The sequence below is a fragment of the Homo sapiens genome, chromosome 8 (genome assembly GCF_000001405.40).
Source record: "Homo sapiens chromosome 8, GRCh38.p14 Primary Assembly".
NCBI classification, from domain to species: Eukaryota; Metazoa; Chordata; class Mammalia; order Primates; family Hominidae; genus Homo; species Homo sapiens.
This window is the reverse complement of record NC_000008.11, coordinates 143,857,201-143,880,714: the sequence shown is the minus strand read 5'-3', so window position 1 is coordinate 143,880,714 and position 23,514 is coordinate 143,857,201. Positions and strand designations below refer to the sequence as shown.

Here is a 23,514-nt window from a genome sequence, read left to right as displayed (position 1 = left end):
CTTCGAGCTGGGCCATGCCAGGCTCCAAGGGACCAATGGGGATCCTGGCCAAAGGCTCCAACCAGCACGGTGACTCCATGGAGCAGCCCAGGGGCAGCGTGGGCACTGGTCTTGGGGCTCTGGGACCTCCCTCCTTGGACCAGGTCTTCTGAGAGCCTCCCTGACCTGCAGGGGGAAGCTAGGTGCCAGTGCCAGGAGGAGGTGGGTAGAGCCGTGGGCAGTACTGGGCATGGGAGCCCTCTCGCTCACCTCCTGACACCCTCCCTGATGCCCTTCCTTGCTGTGTAGGTGGTATAGGCCCAGGCCTGGGGGCTGGAGGAGTGGCCTGTGGCTCCGGGGACTGCTGGGCTGAAGCACTGGACTGGAGCCCCTGGGGAGGTGGTGGCTCCCAGAAGCCCTGACTGGGAGTGGCCCAGGGACCTGGGGAGTAGGGCAGGCACCCAAGTCTGCCCCCAGAGGTGTCCCCAGAGGTCACTGGGCTGGGGGCCACCACAGGGCAGGGGATCTGGAGTCACAGGAAGACAAAGCCGAGGGAGAGGAGCCAGGGGACAGATGCCAGTGGGTGCAGCAGAGCAGGGCCAGCTCCATGCCACCTGCCTATACCAGGGGGGTGACGGGCAGAAATGGGTGCAGCGGAGCAGGGCCAGCTCCGTGCCACCTGCCTATACTGGAGGGGTGACGGGCAGAAATGGGTGCAGCGGAGCAGGGCCAGCTCTGTGCCACCTGCCTATACCGGAGGGGTGAGGAGCAGACAGGCATGTGGCCCGTCCCTGGGCACACAAGAAGGCTTGGTCTGGCCAGCCTAACACCCCCTTCTTGCAGCGAGGGGCTGGCATACACCCAGGTTTTGTGGCCTGGCAGGGGCGCTGCCTGCAATGGCTCACCGCAGGAAGAAGTGGCTCTGGGGTGTGCTCCAGGCCACAGGCCATAGCCAGCACCACCATGCCTCCCAGCAAGACCACACAGACAGTGTCCAGGCATCCGGTGAGCAGGGCTGGGGATGGATGCGGTTGGCCTGGCAGTGCCTTGGGGAAATGCGGGTTCCACCAGAGCTCCTCTGGGGTCAGGGCCCCGCAGTCGGCAGCAGCCATGCTGTGCGGCCAGTGTGGCAGGTGTGGACAGGGTCCAGGCAGCCTGGGTGAGCAGGTGTGAGTGTGGACCTGGTGGGTGGGTGAGAGCAGAGCCAGGGCAGTGGTCCCAAGCACCCTAACCCCTGAAGGCCTAACCTGTCCCTCCTGCACCTGCGTGGGCGCCTGCAATTACCCTCATGGTGTGCATTGGAGGTGGCTGGCTGGCTCTGGATGATTTTCTGGTCAAGAATGACTCAGGCAGAGGTGGGGGCTGGAGCTTGGGAGAAGGGGGCACTTGTGGGGGTGGGGAGCACCTGAGCCCTCAGGACCTCCAGGACTACGGGACAGAGGAGGAGGGGCCTTGGGGACAGAGGAGGAGGGGCTTTGGGCCCTGTACTTCCGTGGCCCTGCCCACCTGGGATATCGGGGCAGCCAAGGGGAGGGCCCTCCAGAAGATCCATGGAAGGTTCCCGTGCCAGGCTGAGGCTGCCCCCAGGCCAGCCCCCGAGGCTGTGAGCCTCCATGCCCAGTGTCTCTGGCATGCCCCAGCCTTGGAAGGTGGGTGCCAGGATGGGCTTCAGAGAGGGGACCAGGTACTCCCAGGGTGACAGGGAACATTCTCTGTGCCCAGGTGGAGGAGCCAGACCGGGGGGTGAGGCCTGGCACTGCTCCAGGCAGGACATCCCAGCTCTTACAACGTCATGGGGGCAGGGGGGCCTGCCAAGGAGAGCCTTGAAGACCCCTGGACCCAGCAGACACACGACGTGAAGCAGCGTCCCCAGGAAGCTGAGCAGACAAGGTGGGGTCGGGGCTGGAGGCAGGGACACCAGCCCGCACCGCATTAGTGGCTTGTGGGGATAGAAACCGCCGCTCTGGCCGGTCCGCGTTTCACTCCAAACTCCTTTCCCAAAAAAAAAAAGCTGTTCTGAAGGGCACAGGACGCCTCCGCGCCCGCCCTGCGTTCCTTCGCGGTGACTCCCTGCTGGGGACGAGGGGAGGGTCCCGGCTGCCCAGCCGCCGCCCCTTGCCCGGGGTGCAAGCGCCAGGCCCGGGCCGCGCGGGGTTTCCGGCACCTGCCCGCCCCGCCCCGCCCCGCGTCGGGGCCCCGACCTGGGCGCCGCCCTAGACGGGGGCGGGGCCTGTGGGGCTTGAAATGCGGGCGGAGCGGGCGCGCGGAGACACTGCGGACCGAGCGGCGAGCGGGCAGGTGCGGCGGGTGCGGCGGGTGCGGCGGGTGCGGCGGGTGCGGGCAGGTGCGGCGGGTGCGGGCAGGTGCGGCGGGTGCGGGTGCGGGCTCGGGGCCGGGCGGGGCGGCGGCCGCCGAAGGAAACCGGATCCCCGCTGGAGCCGCACGCCGAGGCCAGGGTAGGGGCGCGGCGGCCAGCGGGGTCTTGGGCTCTGGCCGGGCAGGTTTCCCGCCCTGGGCAATTTGAGCTCCGAGTCCGAAGTGGCGCCCCTGAGTCCCGGGCGCCGGTGAAGAGGAGGCGCCGGCCCCGAGCCCTCACGGGAGAGGCGGCCAGGGGCGGGGGTCTCGCAGGCCCAGCGGTTTTCCCTGCAGCGAGGACCGCCCGGGGCACGCTCTGCAGGGTGGGGAACGCCCAGGCCAGGAGGCAGCTAGGCCGACAAATTGAGAGGGGTGACTCCTGGCAACATTGCCGGGAGGGAGGCGTCACGGATCCGGGGAAGCTGCCTGCTGTTGGGTGAGCGGTCCCAGGGGTGGCCACTCCGGGTCAGGTAAGCGGTCACACGGTCGCCTGGAGACCCGTGGGAGGCAGAGGCAGGAAGGGCCCTGTTCATCACTTGGGCCCAGGGCTCTGCTTCCCTGCCCTGGGCCCCCGCTGCACTGTGCCAAGCTTGTTATTGGGGCCACTGATCTCTGATCATGGTGCAGGTTGCAGGTGGGTGGGGTCTTCCCACAAGGGCACACAGCCGGGCAGAAGCTAAGGCTGCTGCCTCCTGTGTGGGCCCAGGCAGCTGCCAGGGTCTGTCCTGACCTGACTCAGGCAGGCGGCTGCAGCCTCCCCAACCTTTGTCCCAGGCTGCGGTGGGGGCCTGCCGGGCAGTCTGGTGACAGACAGTGACCTCACCCAAGAGATGCAGACCCACCCTCCTCAGGAACGGCCCTCCACCACTTGGGGCCTGGGGGCCACCTGAAGTGGGGAATCCACAGGAGGGGCCCTTTGTGCCTCAGGCTCCGGGGAAATCTGCTCGGCCTCCTCCCCACCCCATCACCCTAACCCTGACCCCGTGCTCTCCTAGGCAGCAGCCACCTCCTCCAGATGCCCCCACACTCGAAGCTGCACCCCCTGCCCCCCCTCGCTCCGGACCCTCTGTCCAGCTGCCCTCCCAGGCCCCACATGGAGTCAAGACACCCACTCCCGGGCCTTCCTCCTGCCAAGCCTGGGAAGGGGCAGGGCCCAGGGAAGGGGCAGGGCCCAGAGGGGTTCATACCAGGCCCAAGGTCAGGAAGAGATAGGGAGTGGTGCAGCCAGCCACAGGCCGCATCTCACGCATGGTGCGGGGCATGCACTGGCAGGCACACTCACACACGCAGGGCAAGCCTGCCCCCGACTCCCTGCTCCCAAGCGCCCTGTCTCCAGCCTTCCTCCCTGGATCTCCTCTTTGTTTGGGGAACTTGAGCCACTTGCCTGAGCTTACGAGGCCCGCTTAGCACGCGGCCTGTCTGGGCTGGCGGCCTGTGCGCAGGTCAGGGGCCCGCCCAAGGTGCTGTCCCCACCCTCACTGGCCCTGCCCCGCCCTCGCTGGCCCTGCCCCACCCTGGCCCGCACTGCCCCTCCCCCTTGCTGGGAAATCAGGTGCTCCTCTCATTTCCTCACCGCCATCCCTGGCCGGATGTCAGGGGACAGGGCAGGGCCCTGACCCCCTAGAAGCCCCTCGTCTGGCCTGGATGCCATAGTGAGTGGCTGCCTTAGGCTCACAGATCCTGGAGGGTCCTGGAACGAGGCGTGCTGGAGAGGGCCCAGCCCTAGGGGAGGCAGGTGCCAGTAGAGGTGGACACAAAAGCGCCCAGGCTGGGTTCCCAGAAGCAGAGTCTGTCTGAGGCAGGGGTAACCGGGAGTGGTCTCAGGATGGCCTCAGGAAGGGAAGGGAGGAGGAAGCAGGTGGACGAAGGAGAAGCTGGCCTGTCCTGCCGTCTCATGTACCCCCCAGAAGCAGATCTGGACAGCCCCGTAGCCACCCCGGTCAGGCTGTGCCCTTGAGCCTGGCCTCTTCCTGGGGAAGTGCAGAAACAAGTTTTGCAGGGTGGACCTGGCCCCTGGGGCTGCCTCCCCGTCCTCCAGACTGGATGCCCTCAACCCGGGCGCGCCTGCTGGCTCAGGGCTTGTCAGGTGTGACCAGGTCCTCTTCCCTGAGGGTCCCCTCTAGGGCTGGGGGTGATGTTCTATTTACCATGAGAACCAGGCAGGGCACACCAGGTCCCTGCACCCTGTCTGCCCCTGTGGTGCCGCCTCCTGGTGCTCAGGCCTGTCCCCTGCCAGATGGGAGCCTCCTCCTGGCTGCTTGCTCCTGGGACATGATGGGCCTGGGAGCAGCATAGCCTTTGGCTTGGTGACACTAGCTGTGTCCCCTGGCAGAAGTGTTCCTACTCCAGGGACCAGGACATCTAAGCCCACCCGCCCCAGAGCTGTGGGGTCGAGGAGCCCAAGCTCCATCATAGGTCAGTGGGGGGTGGGGGGTGGGGGCCACTGTGCCAGGCCTTGGTTCCTGGGCCCCTGTGACCCACCTCCTGGGACACACGCACATGGGAAGCCACGTTCTGGAGTGGTATAGCCGACTTCCTGGAGAATGGTGCCCTAGCCTGCAAGGCGTCACTGGGGAGCTGGCACCCCGGCTGTGCCTTCAGGAAGTGATTCCTACATCCTGTCAGGCCAGCAGCTTTTGGCTGGGGCAGACTGTGATGTGGCCAGCGGGCCCGTGGCCCATTGCACCACGAAGACAAGCGCCCAGGCATCCCTGTGGCGCACCGGCCAGCTGGCCAGACGTCTGCAGCCTCTTGTGAGCTTTCTCCAATGCTGGTCGTTTACCAGCAGCCCTACTCCATGGTCCTCTGAATCCTCCACGTCTTCCCAGCCACCTGACACTGTGTCCTGAGCACGGTCCCTCGGGACAGCTGAGCTGCAATGCTGCTTCCTGGAGCCCTGGCTCTCTGCACTCGGCCAGTGAGGTGATGGTGAGCCCTCCTGGTCCCAGCTCCGTGTCTGAGGCTCTGAGCAGCCTGTCAGCAGCAGGATGCCTGGAGGAGGCCCGGGACCAGTATCTGCAGAAGGGAAGGGAGAGGGCCAGGGTTTTGCCAAGGTGGGTAGGTGGGCTGCAGTCTTAACAGGTGGTCCTGAGGGGCATCTACGAGCCTCGACAGCCCTCAGAGTTGCCCCTGGAGCATGCCCTTCGTGAGACCAGACATGGGGAGAGGGGATGGGGAGGACCCAGTGCCTTCTAGGGTTAGGCTCTGCATGTTCCAGAGCATGAGCAGCATGGGGTGCCTGTGAGACCTCCAGGAGGCAGCTGGGCACATGGTTTTGGGACCCAGGACAGGCTGGGCTCCTGCTGCAGATTTGGGGAGCTGAGGGTAGGTGGGAGGAGGTCTCAGAGTTAATGGGTGAACGAAGATGGAGCGGAACCCTGTCACTGGAGAGGGGAGCCCCCATAGCCCATGTGGTGGAGGTGGGTGGGGGCCAGCTCCAAAATGCATTTGTCGAGTTTGGCAGCCGGGGGTGGTGGCTGCCTCAAGAGCGGTGGAGTGGGGGTGGGGGTCAAACGTGGGATCCGACCCTTCTCCTGAGACCTTGTGTAGAGGTAGGGAAAGGTTGTCATGGACAGGCTGCTGAGCAGAGGGAGGTTCCAGCTGGAATGAGGGGGAGAATCAAGAGAGGGACTGGGGCCCGTAGTGCTGAGAAAACGGGGAGCAGACCCTGCTCCTGGGTGGGTGGGCACAGGGGTGCAGAACACTGACCAGGGGCCTAAAGAGCAGGAAATTGCTCTCACAGCTCTAGAGGCCAGAAGCCGGAAGGCGAGGAGTGGGCAGGGCCGCACTTCCTCCGGAGCTCGAGGGGAGGATCCTGCCTGCCTTTTCCAGCTTCTGGGGCCCCAGGCGTCCTGGGAATTCCTTGGCTTATAGATCCAATCTCTGCCTCTGTCGTCACACGGCCGCCCTCTCCCTGTGTGTCTTCTTATAAGGACACTAGTTATGTTGGATAACAGCCAATCCTAGCCCGGTATGACCTCACCTTAACTGGGTGATATCTGCAAAGATCCTATTTCCAAATAAGGTCACATTCACAGGGACTGTAGATTAGGACTTAGACATACGTTTTTAGGGACATAATTCAATCTGGTGCAGAAGGGGACAGGCCTGGGTGGAGGCAGTTGACGTGCAGGAGTGGTGGGGATGGAGGTGAGGCACCTGCTGCTCTGCTCAGGGCCAGTCGTACAGCTGTGTGTGGAAGGGGTTGGCGCAGGGCATGCCGGGGCTGCAGCCGGAGGACCAGGGCCCATGGGGGAGAGACAGCCTTGCCTGGCCTGCACCCGGCTCCTGGCAGGACTGCCACACGTCTGCTGAGCCTGCGGCCCCCGGGGCAGGGTGTGGGCTCAGAGGGGCAATAGCCCAGAGGCCGTGGTGCTCGCAGATGTGAGATCCAGGACAGGCAGAGGAGGATGCAGGGCCAGGCTGAGGCAGGAGACCAGGGCTTCAGAGGGCTGGGGTCTTGCTGGAGCCTGGTGGATGGCTGTGGAGGGAGGGCGGGACCTCAGGAGCCAGCAGGAGGTGGCAGAGGCTTCTCTGGAGTGACAGGTCCAGGTGGGGTGGGAGGTTTCAAGAGATCACTGGAGCTGGGGTGGGGCAGGGCATGGGGCAGAGCCTTTGGAGAACAAAAGGTGGGGAGATGCCGGTGCCCAGGCTGAGGGGCGGGCCCTGTGGGTGGAGCCACAGCCCTTTTGGAGCAGGGCTGGGCCCCTCGGGCAGGGCTAAGGATGGGACCAGGGTGCCCAGGAAGGACTCGAGGACACAGGACCCTGGGCTGGCGGGAGGGCGTTGGCCTGGGGTGGAGGTGGAAGGACAGCCTGCGGGAGGGACAGCCCTGGAGTCCCGAGAGGCCTCCCGGCGCCGCCTGGGTGCCTGCGCCCACATGGTCCCTCTGAGCTGGCACTTCCCTTGGCACCCCCGCGGCAGAGTGCTCCTGGGCAGACTCAGCTCCTCGGGGACACTCTAGCTGCACGTCTGTGGGTGGAGCCCAGCCCGGGACAGCATGGGATTGCCCCATGACCGCATCTTCCCTCGTGCCCACCAGGCCATGCGGGGTCCCTGATTGAGCCTTTCTGTCCCCTGCAGGACAGAGGTGGACCTCAGCAGGCTCTGCATAACCAGCCGTGTGTGATGAGTGGCCACACCTTGCCTCCTCTTCCCGTCCCAGGCACCAACAGCACAGAGCAGGCCAGTGTACCCAGAGCCATGGCAGCCACGCTGGGAGCCGGCACGCCCCCCAGGCCCCAGGCCAGGAGCATAGCTGGGGTGTATGTGGAGGCCTCGGGCCAGGCCCAGAGTGTCTACGCCGCCATGGAGCAGGGCCTCCTGCCTGCTGGGCTCGGGCAGGCTCTGCTAGAGGCCCAGGCAGCCACTGGGGGCCTGGTGGACCTCGCCCGGGGCCAGCTGCTCCCTGTGTCCAAGGCCCTGCAGCAGGGTCTGGTGGGGCTGGAGCTGAAGGAGAAGCTGCTGGCCGCTGAGCGTGCCACTACGGGCTATCCTGACCCCTACGGCGGTGAGAAGCTGGCCCTCTTTCAGGCCATCGGGAAGGAGGTTGTGGACAGGGCCCTGGGGCAGAGCTGGCTGGAGGTCCAACTGGCCACTGGGGGCCTGGTGGACCCCGCCCAGGGAGTGCTCGTGGCCCCTGAGCCAGCCTGCCACCAGGGCCTCCTGGACCGGGAGACATGGCACAAGCTGTCAGAGCTTGAGCCTGGCACAGGTGACCTGCGCTTCCTCGACCCCAACACGCTGGAGCGGCTGACATACCACCAGCTGCTGGAAAGGTGTGTGCGTGCCCCCGGCTCGGGGCTAGCCTTGCTGCCCCTCAAGATCACCTTCCGCTCCATGGGCGGGGCGGTGAGTGCAGCTGAGCTGCTGGAGGTGGGCATCCTGGACGAGCAGGCTGTGCAGGGTCTGCGGGAGGGCAGGCTGGCCGCAGTGGACGTGAGTGCACGTGCCGAGGTGCGGCGCTACCTGGAGGGTACCGGCAGCGTGGCCGGGGTTGTCCTGCTGCCCGAAGGCCACAAGAAGAGCTTTTTCCAGGCTGCCACCGAGCACCTGCTCCCAATGGGCACCGCGCTGCCACTCCTAGAGGCCCAGGCTGCCACCCACACCCTGGTGGACCCCATCACAGGCCAGCGGCTGTGGGTAGACGAGGCAGTCAGGGCGGGCCTGGTCAGCCCAGAGCTCCATGAGCAGCTCCTGGTGGCCGAGCAGGCCGTGACAGGGCACCACGACCCCTTCAGTGGCTCCCAAATCCCCCTTTTCCAGGCCATGAAGAAGGGGCTAGTGGACAGGCCACTGGCACTGCGGCTCTTGGATGCCCAGCTGGCCACAGGCGGGCTGGTCTGTCCAGCACGCAGGCTCCGGCTGCCCCTGGAGGCCGCCCTGCGCTGCGGCTGCCTGGATGAAGACACTCAGCGGCAGCTCTCGCAGGCTGGCAGCTTCTCAGACGGCACGCACGGCGGCCTGCGCTATGAACAGCTGCTGGCCCTCTGTGTCACCGACCCAGAGACCGGGCTTGCCTTCCTGCCACTCTCAGGGGGACCCCGGGGAGGGGAGCCCCAGGGACCCCCATTCATCAAGTACAGCACTCGGCAGGCCCTGAGCACGGCCACAGCCACCGTCTCTGTGGGGAAGTTCCGGGGCCGGCCCGTGTCCCTCTGGGAGCTGCTCTTCTCTGAGGCCATCTCCTCAGAGCAGAGGGCGATGCTGGCCCAGCAGTACCAGGAAGGGACCCTCTCCGTGGAGAAGCTGGCCGCTAAGCTGAGCGCCACCCTCGAGCAGGCTGCAGCCACTGCCAGGGTCACCTTTTCTGGGCTGAGGGACACCGTGACACCAGGAGAGCTGCTGAAAGCCGAGATCATCGACCAGGACCTGTACGAGCGGCTGGAGCATGGACAGGCCACAGCCAAGGATGTGGGCAGCCTGGCCTCGGTGCAGAGGTACCTGCAGGGTACGGGCTGCATTGCTGGCCTGCTGCTCCCTGGCTCCCAGGAACGCCTGAGCATCTATGAGGCCCGATGCAAGGGGCTCCTCCGGCCCGGCACTGCCCTCATCCTTCTGGAGGCACAAGCTGCCACAGGCTTCATCATCGACCCAAAAGCAAACAAGGGGCACTCCGTTGAGGAGGCACTGAGGGCTGCTGTCATTGGGCCTGATGTGTTCGCGAAGCTGCTGTCGGCTGAGCGCGCTGTCACTGGCTACACTGACCCCTACACCGGGCAGCAGATCTCCCTCTTCCAGGCCATGCAGAAGGGCCTCATCGTCCGGGAGCACGGCATCCGCCTGCTGGAGGCCCAGATCGCCACGGGCGGCGTCATCGACCCCGTGCACAGCCACCGCGTGCCCGTGGACGTGGCCTACCGGCGCGGCTACTTCGATCAGATGCTGAACTTGATCCTGTTGGACCCTTCTGACGACACCAAGGGCTTCTTCGACCCCAACACGCACGAGAACCTCACGTACCTGCAGCTTCTGGAGCGCTGTGTGCGTGACCCCGAGACGGGCCTGTACCTCCTGCCACTCAGCAGCACGCAGTCCCCGCTGGTGGACAGTGCCACCCAGCAGGCCTTCCAGAACCTGCTGCTCTCCGTGAAGTATGGACGGTTTCAGGGGCAGAGGGTCTCCGCGTGGGAGCTGATCAACTCTGAGTACTTCAGCGAGGGCCGCAGGAGGCAGCTGCTGCGTCGCTACCGGCAGCGCGAGGTCACGCTGGGGCAGGTGGCAAAGCTGCTGGAGGCGGAGACGCAGAGACAGGCGGACATCATGCTGCCCGCACTGCGGAGCCGGGTCACCGTCCACCAGCTCCTGGAGGCCGGTATCATTGACCAGCAGCTGTTGGACCAAGTGCTGGCCGGGACAATCAGCCCGGAGGCCCTCCTACTCATGGACGGCGTCCGCAGGTACCTGTGCGGCCTGGGAGCTGTGGGCGGTGTGCGGCTGCTGCCCTCTGGCCAGCGGCTCAGCCTCTACCAGGCCATGAGGCAGAAGCTGCTGGGGCCCAGGGTGGCCCTGGCCCTGCTGGAGGCCCAGGCGGCCACCGGAACCATCATGGACCCTCACAGCCCAGAGAGCCTCTCGGTGGATGAGGCCGTGCGCAGGGGTGTGGTGGGGCCGGAGCTGTATGGCAGGCTGAAGCGGGCTGAGGGTGCCATTGCTGGCTTCAGAGACCCCTTCTCTGGGAAGCAGGTGTCTGTGTTCCAGGCCATGAAGAAAGGTCTCATCCCTTGGGAGCAAGCTGCCCGCCTCCTGGAGGCTCAAGTGGCCACAGGAGGGATCATTGACCCCACCAGCCACCACCACCTCCCCATGCCAGTGGCCATTCAGCGTGGCTATGTTGACCAGGAGATGGAGACAGCCTTGTCCAGCTCCTCCGAAACCTTCCCCACACCGGACGGCCAGGGGCGCACGAGCTATGCCCAGCTCCTGGAGGAGTGCCCCAGGGATGAGACTTCTGGCCTTCACCTCCTGCCCCTGCCAGAAAGTGCTCCTGCCCTCCCCACCGAGGAGCAGGTCCAGAGGAGCCTGCAGGCCGTGCCGGGGGCCAAGGATGGCACATCCCTCTGGGACCTGCTCAGCTCCTGCCACTTCACCGAGGAGCAACGGAGGGGCCTGCTGGAGGACGTGCAGGAGGGGAGGACCACTGTGCCACAGCTGCTAGCCTCTGTGCAGAGGTGGGTACAGGAGACCAAGCTCCTGGCCCAGGCCCGCGTCATGGTGCCCGGCCCACGGGGTGAGGTACCCGCTGTCTGGCTGCTGGATGCTGGCATCATCACCCAGGAGACCCTTGAGGCCCTGGCTCAGGGCACGCAGTCGCCCGCCCAGGTCGCCGAGCAGCCGGCGGTGAAGGCCTGCCTGTGGGGCACAGGCTGCGTGGCCGGTGTGCTGCTACAGCCCTCTGGGGCCAAGGCCAGCATCGCCCAGGCCGTGAGGGATGGCCTCCTGCCCACAGGCCTGGGCCAGAGGCTGCTGGAAGCCCAGGTGGCATCTGGCTTCCTTGTTGACCCCCTGAACAACCAGAGACTGTCAGTGGAGGACGCGGTTAAGGTCGGCCTGGTGGGCAGGGAGCTGAGTGAGCAGCTCGGGCAGGCCGAGAGGGCGGCGGCCGGGTACCCAGATCCCTACTCTAGGGCCTCCCTCTCTCTGTGGCAGGCCATGGAGAAGGGGCTCGTGCCACAGAACGAGGGCTTGCCCCTCCTGCAGGTGCAGCTGGCCACAGGGGGTGTGGTGGACCCTGTCCACGGGGTGCACCTGCCCCAGGCGGCAGCCTGCAGACTCGGCCTTCTGGACACACAGACGAGCCAGGTGCTGACTGCAGTTGACAAGGACAACAAGTTCTTCTTTGACCCCAGTGCGCGGGACCAGGTGACCTACCAGCAGCTCAGGGAGCGCTGCGTGTGCGACTCCGAGACCGGATTGTTGCTGTTGCCACTGCCCTCAGACACAGTGCTTGAGGTGGACGACCACACCGCGGTGGCTCTGAGGGCCATGAAGGTGCCCGTCAGCACAGGGAGGTTTAAGGGGTGTAGCGTGTCACTCTGGGACCTGCTGCTCTCCGAATACGTTGGCGCTGACAAGCGGCGGGAGCTGGTGGCACTCTGTCGGTCTGGGAGGGCTGCGGCCCTGCGGCAGGTGGTCAGCGCAGTCACCACCCTGGTCGAGGCTGCAGAGAGGCAGCCCCTGCAGGCCACCTTCAGAGGGCTCCGGAAGCAGGTGTCAGCCAGGGACCTGTTCAGGGCGCAGCTGATCAGCAGGAAGACGCTGGACGAGCTGAGCCAGGGGACAACGACTGTGAAGGAGGTGGCGGAGATGGACAGCGTGAAGCGGTCCCTGGAGGGAGGCAACTTCATTGCCGGGGTCCTTATCCAGGGCACCCAGGAGAGGATGAGCATCCCAGAGGCCCTGAGGAGGCACATCCTGCGGCCTGGCACAGCCCTGGTGCTGCTGGAGGCACAGGCAGCTACCGGCTTCATCATCGACCCCGTGGAGAACCGGAAGCTGACCGTGGAGGAGGCGTTCAAAGCAGGAATGTTCGGGAAAGAAACCTACGTGAAGCTGCTGTCGGCCGAGCGCGCCGTCACCGGCTACACCGACCCCTATACCGGGCAGCAGATCTCCCTCTTCCAGGCCATGCAGAAGGACCTCATCGTCCGGGAGCACGGCATCCGCCTGCTGGAGGCCCAGATCGCCACGGGCGGCATCATCGACCCCGTGCACAGCCACCGCGTGCCCGTGGACGTGGCCTACCGCTGCGGCTACTTCGACGAGGAGATGAACCGCATCCTGGCGGACCCCAGCGACGACACCAAGGGCTTCTTCGACCCCAACACGCACGAGAACCTCACGTACCTGCAGCTTCTGGAGCGCTGTGTGGAGGACCCCGAGACGGGCCTGTACCTGCTACAAATCATAAAGAAAGGAGAAAACTACGTGTACATCAATGAGGCCACGAGACACGTGTTGCAATCCAGAACTGCAAAAATGCGCGTGGGGAGGTTTGCTGACCAGGTGGTCTCTTTCTGGGACCTGCTGTCCTCTCCATACTTCACAGAGGACAGGAAGCGGGAGCTCATCCAGGAGTATGGAGCCCAGAGTGGGGGCCTGGAGAAATTGCTGGAAATCATCACCACGACAATTGAAGAAACAGAGACGCAAAACCAAGGCATCAAAGTGGCGGCCATCAGAGGGGAGGTGACAGCTGCAGACCTGTTCAACTCCAGGGTCATCGATCAGAAGACCCTGCACACACTTCGTGTGGGGAGGACTGGGGGACAGGCACTCAGCACGCTGGAGTGTGTGAAGCCCTATCTGGAAGGCAGCGGCTGCATTGCGGGGGTCACGGTGCCCTCCACCAGGGAGGTCATGAGCCTCCATGAGGCCAGCAGGAAGGAGCTCATCCCTGCAGCATTTGCGACTTGGCTGCTGGAGGCGCAGGCCGCCACCGGGTTCCTCCTGGACCCCTGCACCCGCCAGAAGCTCTCTGTGGATGAGGCTGTGGATGTGGGCCTGGTGAACGAGGAGCTGCGGGAGAGGCTCCTGAAGGCTGAAAGAGCTGCCACGGGCTACAGGGATCCGGCCACAGGAGACACGATCCCGCTGTTCCAGGCCATGCAGAAGCAGCTCATCGAGAAGGCGGAGGCACTGAGGCTGCTGGAGGTGCAGGTGGCCACGGGGGGTGTCATCGACCCACAGCACCACCACCGGCTCCCACTGGAAACAGCCTACAGACGGGGCTGTCTGCACAAGGACATCTATGCGCTCATTTCCGACCAGAAGCACATGAGGAAACGGTTTGTGGACCCGAACACGCAAGAGAAGGTCTCGTACCGAGAGCTGCAGGAGAGGTGCCGCCCACAAGAGGACACGGGCTGGCTGCTGTTCCCAGTGAACAAGGCTGCACGGGACTCCGAGCACATCGATGACGAGACGAGAAGGGCCCTGGAGGCAGAGCAAGTGGAAATCACAGTGGGAAGGTTCAGAGGCCAGAAACCAACACTGTGGGCACTACTGAATTCCGAATACGTGACAGAGGAGAAGAAGCTCCAGCTGGTGAGGATGTATAGAACACACACCAGACGGGCACTGCAGACGGTAGCGCAGCTCATCTTAGAGTTGATCGAGAAGCAGGAAACCAGCAACAAACACCTGTGGTTCCAAGGAATTAGACGACAGATCACAGCTTCTGAACTCCTCAGCTCAGCCATAATCACGGAGGAAATGCTCCAGGACCTGGAAACGGGACGGAGCACGACGCAAGAGCTCATGGAGGACGACCGCGTCAAGCGCTACCTGGAGGGCACCAGCTGCATCGCGGGCGTCCTGGTGCCCGCCAAGGACCAGCCCGGCCGCCAGGAGAAGATGAGCATCTACCAGGCCATGTGGAAGGGCGTGCTGCGGCCCGGCACGGCCCTGGTGCTGCTGGAGGCGCAGGCGGCCACCGGCTTCGTCATCGACCCCGTGCGCAACCTGAGGCTGTCGGTGGAGGAGGCCGTGGCCGCGGGCGTGGTGGGCGGCGAGATCCAGGAGAAGCTGCTGTCGGCCGAGCGCGCCGTCACCGGCTACACCGACCCCTACACCGGGCAGCAGATCTCCCTCTTCCAGGCCATGCAGAAGGACCTCATCGTCCGGGAGCACGGCATCCGCCTGCTGGAGGCCCAGATCGCCACGGGCGGCGTCATCGACCCCGTGCACAGCCACCGCGTGCCCGTGGACGTGGCCTACCGGCGCGGCTACTTCGACGAGGAGATGAACCGTGTCCTGGCCGACCCCAGCGACGACACCAAGGGCTTCTTCGACCCCAACACGCACGAGAACCTCACGTACGTGCAGCTGCTGCGCCGCTGCGTGCCCGACCCGGACACCGGGCTCTACATGCTGCAGCTGGCAGGCCGGGGCTCCGCCGTGCACCAGCTGAGCGAGGAGCTGCGCTGTGCCCTGCGCGACGCCCGCGTGACGCCAGGCTCGGGCGCCCTCCAGGGCCAGAGCGTCTCCGTCTGGGAGCTCCTCTTCTACCGCGAGGTGTCCGAGGACCGGCGCCAGGACCTGCTGAGCAGATACCGGGCGGGCACGCTGACCGTGGAGGAGCTGGGCGCCACCCTCACCTCGCTGCTGGCCCAGGCCCAGGCCCAGGCCCGGGCCGAGGCCGAGGCCGGGAGCCCGCGCCCAGACCCCCGGGAGGCCCTGCGTGCGGCCACCATGGAGGTCAAGGTGGGCCGCCTCCGGGGGCGCGCGGTGCCCGTGTGGGACGTGCTGGCGTCCGGCTACGTGAGCAGGGCCGCCCGGGAGGAGCTGCTGGCCGAGTTTGGCTCGGGGACCCTGGACTTGCCCGCGCTGACCCGCCGGCTGACCGCCATCATCGAGGAGGCCGAGGAGGCCCCCGGGGCCCGGCCGCAGCTCCAGGACGCCTGGCGCGGCCCGCGGGAGCCAGGGCCAGCCGGGCGAGGGGACGGCGACTCGGGGCGCTCCCAGCGAGAGGGCCAGGGGGAGGGCGAGACCCAGGAGGCCGCCGCCGCCGCCGCCGCCGCCGCCGCCCGCCGCCAGGAGCAGACCCTGCGTGATGCCACCATGGAGGTGCAGCGCGGGCAGTTCCAGGGGCGGCCGGTCTCCGTGTGGGACGTCCTCTTCTCCTCGTACCTGAGCGAGGCCCGCCGAGACGAGCTCCTGGCCCAGCACGCGGCCGGCGCCCTGGGCCTGCCCGACCTCGTCGCCGTCCTCACCCGGGTCATCGAGGAGACCGAGGAGCGGCTCAGCAAGGTGTCCTTCCGCGGCCTGAGGCGCCAGGTGTCCGCCTCCGAGCTGCACACGTCCGGGATCCTGGGCCCCGAGACCCTGCGGGACCTGGCCCAGGGCACTAAGACGCTGCAGGAGGTGACGGAGATGGACTCGGTCAAGCGCTACCTGGAGGGCACCAGCTGCATCGCGGGCGTCCTGGTGCCCGCCAAGGACCAGCCCGGCCGCCAGGAGAAGATGAGCATCTACCAGGCCATGTGGAAGGGCGTGCTGCGGCCCGGCACGGCCCTGGTGCTGCTGGAGGCGCAGGCGGCCACCGGCTTCGTCATCGACCCCGTGCGCAACCTGAGGCTGTCGGTGGAGGAGGCCGTGGCCGCGGGCGTGGTGGGCGGCGAGATCCAGGAGAAGCTGCTGTCGGCCGAGCGCGCCGTCACCGGCTACACCGACCCCTACACCGGGCAGCAGATCTCCCTCTTCCAGGCCATGCAGAAGGACCTCATCGTCCGGGAGCACGGCATCCGCCTGCTGGAGGCCCAGATCGCCACGGGCGGCGTCATCGACCCCGTGCACAGCCACCGCGTGCCCGTGGACGTGGCCTACCAGCGCGGCTACTTCGACGAGGAGATGAACCGTGTCCTGGCCGACCCCAGCGACGACACCAAGGGCTTCTTCGACCCCAACACGCACGAGAACCTCACGTACGTGCAGCTGCTGCGCCGCTGCGTGCCCGACCCGGACACCGGGCTCTACATGCTGCAGCTGGCAGGCCGGGGCTCCGCCGTGCACCAGCTGAGCGAGGAGCTGCGCTGTGCCCTGCGCGACGCCCGCGTGACGCCAGGCTCGGGCGCCCTCCAGGGCCAGAGCGTCTCCGTCTGGGAGCTCCTCTTCTACCGCGAGGTGTCCGAGGACCGGCGCCAGGACCTGCTGAGCAGATACCGGGCGGGCACGCTGACCGTGGAAGAGCTGGGCGCCACCCTCACCTCGCTGCTGGCCCAGGCCCAGGCCCAGGCCCGGGCCGAGGCCGAGGCCGGGAGCCCGCGCCCAGACCCCCGGGAGGCCCTGCGTGCGGCCACCATGGAGGTCAAGGTGGGCCGCCTCCGGGGGCGCGCGGTGCCCGTGTGGGACGTGCTGGCGTCCGGCTACGTGAGCAGGGCCGCCCGGGAGGAGCTGCTGGCCGAGTTTGGCTCGGGGACCCTGGACTTGCCCGCGCTGACCCGCCGGCTGACCGCCATCATCGAGGAGGCCGAGGAGGCCCCCGGGGCCCGGCCGCAGCTCCAGGACGCCTGGCGCGGCCCGCGGGAGCCAGGGCCAGCCGGGCGAGGGGACGGCGACTCGGGGCGCTCCCAGCGAGAGGGCCAGGGGGAGGGCGAGACCCAGGAGGCCGCCGCCGCCGCCCGCCGCCAGGAGCAGACCCTGCGTGATGCCACCATGGAGGTGCAGCGCGGGCAGTTCCAGGGGCGGCCGGTCTCCGTGTGGGACGTCCTCTTCTCCTCGTACCTGAGCGAGGCCCGCCGAGACGAGCTCCTGGCCCAGCACGCGGCCGGCGCCCTGGGCCTGCCCGACCTCGTCGCCGTCCTCACCCGGGTCATCGAGGAGACGGAGGAGCGGCTCAGCAAGGTGTCCTTCCGCGGCCTGAGGTGCCAGGTGTCCGCCTCCGAGCTGCACACGTCCGGGATCCTGGGCCCCGAGACCCTGCGGGACCTGGCCCAGGGCACTAAGACGCTGCAGGAGGTGACGGAGATGGACTCGGTCAAGCGCTACCTGGAGGGCACCAGCTGCATCGCGGGCGTCCTGGTGCCCGCCAAGGACCAGCCCGGCCGCCAGGAGAAGATGAGCATCTACCAGGCCATGTGGAAGGGCGTGCTGCGGCCCGGCACGGCCCTGGTGCTGCTGGAGGCGCAGGCGGCCACCGGCTTCGTCATCGACCCCGTGCGCAACCTGAGGCTGTCGGTGGAGGAGGCCGTGGCCGCGGGCGTGGTGGGCGGCGAGATCCAGGAGAAGCTGCTGTCGGCCGAGCGCGCCGTCACCGGCTACACCGACCCCTACACCGGGCAGCAGATCTCCCTCTTCCAGGCCATGCAGAAGGACCTCATCGTCCGGGAGCACGGCATCCGCCTGCTGGAGGCCCAGATCGCCACGGGCGGCGTCATCGACCCCGTGCACAGCCACCGCGTGCCCGTGGACGTGGCCTACCGGCGCGGCTACTTCGACGAGGAGATGAACCGTGTCCTGGCCGACCCCAGCGACGACACCAAGGGCTTCTTCGACCCCAACACGCACGAGAACCTCACGTACGTGCAGCTGCTGCGCCGCTGCGTGCCCGACCCGGACACCGGGCTCTACATGCTGCAGCTGGCAGGCCGGGGCTCCGCCGTGCACCAGCTGAGCGAGGAGCTGCGCTGTGCCCTGCGCGACGCCCGCGTGACGCCAGGCTCGGGCGCCCTCCAGGGCCAGAGCGTCTCCGTCTGGGAGCTCCTCTTCTACCGCGAGGTGTCCGAGGACCGGCGCCAGGACCTGCTGAGCAGATACCGGGCGGGCACGCTGACCGTGGAGGAGCTGGGCGCCACCCTCACCTCGCTGCTGGCCCAGGCCCAGGCCCAGGCCCGGGCCGAGGCCGAGGCCGGGAGCCCGCGCCCAGACCCCCGGGAGGCCCTGCGTGCGGCCACCATGGAGGTCAAGGTGGGCCGCCTCCGGGGGCGCGCGGTGCCCGTGTGGGACGTGCTGGCGTCCGGCTACGTGAGCAGGGCCGCCCGGGAGGAGCTGCTGGCCGAGTTTGGCTCGGGGACCCTGGACTTGCCCGCGCTGACCCGCCGGCTGACCGCCATCATCGAGGAGGCCGAGGAGGCCCCCGGGGCCCGGCCGCAGCTCCAGGACGCCTGGCGCGGCCCGCGGGAGCCAGGGCCAGCCGGGCGAGGGGACGGCGACTCGGGGCGCTCCCAGCGAGAGGGCCAGGGGGAGGGCGAGACCCAGGAGGCCGCCGCCGCCACCGCCGCCGCCCGCCGCCAGGAGCAGACCCTGCGTGATGCCACCATGGAGGTGCAGCGCGGGCAGTTCCAGGGGCGGCCGGTCTCCGTGTGGGACGTCCTCTTCTCCTCGTACCTGAGCGAGGCCCGCCGAGACGAGCTCCTGGCCCAGCACGCGGCCGGCGCCCTGGGCCTGCCCGACCTCGTCGCCGTCCTCACCCGGGTCATCGAGGAGACGGAGGAGCGGCTCAGCAAGGTGTCCTTCCGCGGCCTGAGGCGCCAGGTGTCCGCCTCCGAGCTGCACACGTCCGGGATCCTGGGCCCCGAGACCCTGCGGGACCTGGCCCAGGGCACTAAGACGCTGCAGGAGGTGACGGAGATGGACTCGGTCAAGCGCTACCTGGAGGGCACCAGCTGCATCGCGGGCGTCCTGGTGCCCGCCAAGGACCAGCCCGGCCGCCAGGAGAAGATGAGCATCTACCAGGCCATGTGGAAGGGCGTGCTGCGGCCCGGCACGGCCCTGGTGCTGCTGGAGGCGCAGGCGGCCACCGGCTTCGTCATCGACCCCGTGCGCAACCTGAGGCTGTCGGTGGAGGAGGCCGTGGCCGCGGGCGTGGTGGGCGGCGAGATCCAGGAGAAGCTGCTGTCGGCCGAGCGCGCCGTCACCGGCTACACCGACCCCTACACCGGGCAGCAGATCTCCCTCTTCCAGGCCATGCAGAAGGACCTCATCGTCCGGGAGCACGGCATCCGCCTGCTGGAGGCCCAGATCGCCACGGGCGGCGTCATCGACCCCGTGCACAGCCACCGCGTGCCCGTGGACGTGGCCTACCGGCGCGGCTACTTCGACGAGGAGATGAACCGTGTCCTGGCCGACCCCAGCGACGACACCAAGGGCTTCTTCGACCCCAACACGCACGAGAACCTCACGTACGTGCAGCTGCTGCGCCGCTGCGTGCCCGACCCGGACACCGGGCTCTACATGCTGCAGCTGGCAGGCCGGGGCTCCGCCGTGCACCAGCTGAGCGAGGAGCTGCGCTGTGCCCTGCGCGACGCCCGCGTGACGCCAGGCTCGGGCGCCCTCCAGGGCCAGAGCGTCTCCGTCTGGGAGCTCCTCTTCTACCGCGAGGTGTCCGAGGACCGGCGCCAGGACCTGCTGAGCAGATACCGGGCGGGCACGCTGACCGTGGAGGAGCTGGGCGCCACCCTCACCTCGCTGCTGGCCCAGGCCCAGGCCCAGGCCCGGGCCGAGGCCGAGGCCGGGAGCCCGCGCCCAGACCCCCGGGAGGCCCTGCGTGCGGCCACCATGGAGGTCAAGGTGGGCCGCCTCCGGGGGCGCGCGGTGCCCGTGTGGGACGTGCTGGCGTCCGGCTACGTGAGCAGGGCCGCCCGGGAGGAGCTGCTGGCCGAGTTTGGCTCGGGGACCCTGGACTTGCCCGCGCTGACCCGCCGGCTGACCGCCATCATCGAGGAGGCCGAGGAGGCCCCCGGGGCCCGGCCGCAGCTCCAGGACGCCTGGCGCGGCCCGCGGGAGCCAGGGCCAGCCGGGCGAGGGGACGGCGACTCGGGGCGCTCCCAGCGAGAGGGCCAGGGGGAGGGCGAGACCCAGGAGGCCGCCGCCGCCACCGCCGCCGCCCGCCGCCAGGAGCAGACCCTGCGTGATGCCACCATGGAGGTGCAGCGCGGGCAGTTCCAGGGGCGGCCGGTCTCCGTGTGGGACGTCCTCTTCTCCTCGTACCTGAGCGAGGCCCGCCGAGACGAGCTCCTGGCCCAGCACGCGGCCGGCGCCCTGGGCCTGCCCGACCTCGTCGCCGTCCTCACCCGGGTCATCGAGGAGACGGAGGAGCGGCTCAGCAAGGTGTCCTTCCGCGGCCTGAGGCGCCAGGTGTCCGCCTCCGAGCTGCACACGTCCGGGATCCTGGGCCCCGAGACCCTGCGGGACCTGGCCCAGGGCACTAAGACGCTGCAGGAGGTGACGGAGATGGACTCGGTCAAGCGCTACCTGGAGGGCACCAGCTGCATCGCGGGCGTCCTGGTGCCCGCCAAGGACCAGCCCGGCCACCAGGAGAAGATGAGCATCTACCAGGCCATGTGGAAGGGCGTGCTGCGGCCCGGCACGGCCCTGGTGCTGCTGGAGGCGCAGGCGGCCACCGGCTTCGTCATCGACCCCGTGCGCAACCTGAGGCTGTCGGTGGAGGAGGCCGTGGCCGCGGGCGTGGTGGGCGGCGAGATCCAGGAGAAGCTGCTGTCGGCCGAGCGCGCCGTCACCGGCTACACCGACCCCTACACCGGGCAGCAGATCTCCCTCTTCCAGGCCATGCAGAAGGACCTCATCGTCCGGGAGCACGGCATCCGCCTGCTGGAGGCCCAGATCGCCACGGGCGGCGTCATCGACCCCGTGCACAGCCACCGCGTGCCCGTGGACGTGGCCTACCGGCGCGGCTACTTCGACGAGGAGATGAACCGTGTCCTGGCCCACCCCAGCGACGACACCAAGGGCTTCTTCGACCCCAACACGCACGAGAACCTCACGTACGTGCAGCTGCTGCGCCGCTGCGTGCCCGACCCGGACACCGGGCTCTACATGCTGCAGCTGGCAGGCCGGGGCTCCGCCGTGCACCAGCTGAGCGAGGAGCTGCGCTGTGCCCTGCGCGACGCCCGCGTGATGCCAGGCTCGGGCGCCCTCCAGGGCCAGAGCGTCTCCGTCTGGGAGCTCCTCTTCTACCGCGAGGTGTCCGAGGACCGGCGCCAGGACCTGCTGAGCAGATACCGGGCGGGCACGCTGACCGTGGAGGAGCTGGGCGCCACCCTCACCTCGCTGCTGGCCCAGGCCCAGGCCCAGGCCCGGGCCGAGGCCGAGGCCGAGGCCGGGAGCCCGCGCCCAGACCCCCGGGAGGCCCTGCGTGCGGCCACCATGGAGGTCAAGGTGGGCCGCCTCCGGGGGCGCGCGGTGCCCGTGTGGGACGTGCTGGCGTCCGGCTACGTGAGCGGGGCCGCCCGGGAGGAGCTGCTGGCCGAGTTTGGCTCGGGGACCCTGGACTTGCCCGCGCTGACCCGCCGGCTGACCGCCATCATCGAGGAGGCCGAGGAGGCCCCCGGGGCCCGGCCGCAGCTCCAGGACGCCTGGCGCGGCCCGCGGGAGCCAGGGCCAGCCGGGCGAGGGGACGGCGACTCGGGGCGCTCCCAGCGAGAGGGCCAGGGGGAGGGCGAGACCCAGGAGGCCGCCGCCGCCGCCCGCCGCCAGGAGCAGACCCTGCGTGATGCCACCATGGAGGTGCAGCGCGGGCAGTTCCAGGGGCGGCCGGTCTCCGTGTGGGACGTCCTCTTCTCCTCGTACCTGAGCGAGGCCCACCGAGACGAGCTCCTGGCCCAGCACGCGGCCGGCGCCCTGGGCCTGCCCGACCTCGTCGCCGTCCTCACCCGGGTCATCGAGGAGACGGAGGAGCGGCTCAGCAAGGTGTCCTTCCGCGGCCTGAGGCGCCAGGTGTCCGCCTCCGAGCTGCACACGTCCGGGATCCTGGGCCCCGAGACCCTGCGGGACCTGGCCCAGGGCACTAAGACGCTGCAGGAGGTGACGGAGATGGACTCGGTCAAGCGCTACCTGGAGGGCACCAGCTGCATCGCGGGCGTCCTGGTGCCCGCCAAGGACCAGCCCGGCCGCCAGGAGAAGATGAGCATCTACCAGGCCATGTGGAAGGGCGTGCTGCGGCCCGGCACGGCCCTGGTGCTGCTGGAGGCGCAGGCGGCCACCGGCTTCGTCATCGACCCCGTGCGCAACCTGAGGCTGTCGGTGGAGGAGGCCGTGGCCGCGGGCGTGGTGGGCGGCGAGATCCAGGAGAAGCTGCTGTCGGCCGAGCGCGCCGTCACCGGCTACACCGACCCCTACACCGGGCAGCAGATCTCCCTCTTCCAGGCCATGCAGAAGGACCTCATCGTCCGGGAGCACGGCATCCGCCTGCTGGAGGCCCAGATCGCCACGGGCGGCGTCATCGACCCCGTGCACAGCCACCGCGTGCCCGTGGACGTGGCCTACCGGCGCGGCTACTTCGACGAGGAGATGAACCGCGTCCTGGCCGACCCCAGCGACGACACCAAGGGCTTCTTCGACCCCAACACGCACGAGAACCTCACGTACCTGCAGCTTCTGCAGAGGGCCACCCTGGACCCTGAGACGGGGCTCCTATTTCTTTCTCTCTCTCTACAGTGACTGGGCTTCCTCCGTGCAGTTTTCTGCAACTCTGGAGAAGTGGAGGCATACTTGTGTGTCTGGGTTGTTTTTTTTTTTTTTTTTTTTTTTGTCATTCTTTAATTTTGTTGTTTTACCCATTCGTTATCTGTGGAAAACGTTTTAAGTTGTCATGTGACAGAAACTTTTCCTTTGTCCATCGAGGTGTTTCATAAGTTTTTTGGTGTGTTTTCTGGGTCGTCTATGTGTCATATGGTTTTACTTTTCTCTCCTTTTTCGTTTTCAGAACATTTTTCTGTCTGTTTTGGATTCACTGCTTCCATTTTACAGAATGTCACTCTTTAGACTCTCAGTCCATCATGCCATCGGGTACTCTTGTTGCAGTGTAATTTTTATTACATGCGGTTATTTCCCTAACGATGTGCTATTCACGTTCATCTTCAAACTCATTTTCCATCAGCCAGTGTCTACTATTTAGTGCCCTGGCTCTATTTCGGTCCTCCTCCCCGGGCTTTCCCTGGCTGCTGTGCTGGCCAAAAGCATGGGCTTTATTCTCTCCATTGGCTGCTGCTCCACCTTAGAGGTGTGACCTCACTAGCGTTGACTGAGCGAGTCTGTTGTGGAGAAGAACTTTTTGTAGTAATTTACTAGGAAAAATTCTGAACAAGTAAAATATGAAGGAAACTCTTGTTTTTGATTTCAGGTTTTTGAAGGTTCAATCACTAATCTTTATGCCCTTAATATACAGATAGTAGATTAAACAAGGGAAGCAAGCCGTCCAAAATCCAGGGTTCCTAGAGCCGTATC

The 23,514-nt window shown here is 67.2% G+C and overlaps 1 protein-coding gene across 6 annotated transcripts, besides 6 other annotated features; it reads left to right on the top strand.

The window, feature by feature from the left end:
- Positions 896-1,538: an enhancer, noted in NCBI's record as "H3K27ac-H3K4me1 hESC enhancer chr8:144953345-144953987 (GRCh37/hg19 assembly coordinates)". NCBI's record gives its function as "activates a minimal SCP1, AML or CMV promoter by ChIP-STARR-seq in naive H9 embryonic stem cells {active_cell/tissue: H9 hESC(naive)}" and the evidence as "EXISTENCE:reporter gene assay evidence [ECO:0000049][PMID:30033119]".
- Positions 1,521-23,391, top strand: EPPK1 (epiplakin 1). Of its 6 annotated transcripts, XM_017013892.2 has the most exons (3): positions 2,248-2,277; positions 7,417-18,540; positions 21,742-23,391. In XM_017013892.2, the coding sequence occupies exons 2-3, from the start codon at positions 7,462-7,464 to the stop codon at positions 22,726-22,728; spliced, it is 12,066 nt and encodes a 4,021-aa protein (XP_016869381.2). In that variant the 5' UTR covers positions 2,248-2,277; positions 7,417-7,461; the 3' UTR covers positions 22,729-23,391. The 6 variants fall into 6 exon arrangements, with proteins under 6 accessions (XP_047278247.1, XP_016869379.1, XP_016869381.2 ...); XM_047422291.1 differs by lacking the exon at positions 2,248-2,277 and adding an exon at positions 1,521-1,628 and having other exon boundaries at positions 7,417-23,391; XM_017013890.2 differs by lacking the exon at positions 2,248-2,277 and adding an exon at positions 1,665-1,869 and having other exon boundaries at positions 7,417-23,391.
- Positions 2,105-2,194: a silencer, noted in NCBI's record as "silent region_19626". NCBI's record gives its function as "represses an Ori minimal core promoter by ATAC-STARR-seq in GM12878 lymphoblastoid cells {active_cell/tissue: GM12878}" and the evidence as "EXISTENCE:reporter gene assay evidence [ECO:0000049][PMID:35858748]".
- Positions 4,758-5,400: an enhancer, noted in NCBI's record as "H3K4me1 hESC enhancer chr8:144949483-144950125 (GRCh37/hg19 assembly coordinates)". NCBI's record gives its function as "activates a minimal SCP1, AML or CMV promoter by ChIP-STARR-seq in naive H9 embryonic stem cells {active_cell/tissue: H9 hESC(naive)}" and the evidence as "EXISTENCE:reporter gene assay evidence [ECO:0000049][PMID:30033119]".
- Positions 6,111-6,802: an enhancer, noted in NCBI's record as "H3K27ac-H3K4me1 hESC enhancer chr8:144948081-144948772 (GRCh37/hg19 assembly coordinates)". NCBI's record gives its function as "activates a minimal SCP1, AML or CMV promoter by ChIP-STARR-seq in naive H9 embryonic stem cells {active_cell/tissue: H9 hESC(naive)}" and the evidence as "EXISTENCE:reporter gene assay evidence [ECO:0000049][PMID:30033119]".
- Positions 13,965-14,464: an enhancer, noted in NCBI's record as "H3K27ac hESC enhancer chr8:144940419-144940918 (GRCh37/hg19 assembly coordinates)". NCBI's record gives its function as "activates a minimal SCP1, AML or CMV promoter by ChIP-STARR-seq in naive H9 embryonic stem cells {active_cell/tissue: H9 hESC(naive)}" and the evidence as "EXISTENCE:reporter gene assay evidence [ECO:0000049][PMID:30033119]".
- Positions 22,469-22,971: an enhancer, noted in NCBI's record as "H3K27ac hESC enhancer chr8:144939917-144940418 (GRCh37/hg19 assembly coordinates)". NCBI's record gives its function as "activates a minimal SCP1, AML or CMV promoter by ChIP-STARR-seq in naive H9 embryonic stem cells {active_cell/tissue: H9 hESC(naive)}" and the evidence as "EXISTENCE:reporter gene assay evidence [ECO:0000049][PMID:30033119]".

What these genes read in the sequence shown, in the direction of transcription:
- EPPK1 (XM_047422291.1), top strand. Translation starts at nt 1,593, where the DNA reads ATGCCCAGTGTCTCTGGCATGCCCCAGCCTTGGAAG. An exon ending in GCATGCCCCAGCCTTGGAAG is followed by an intron (nt 1,629 to 7,416) that starts GTGGGTGCCAGG and finishes TGTCCCCTGCAG; the next exon opens with GACAGAGGTGGACCTCAGCA.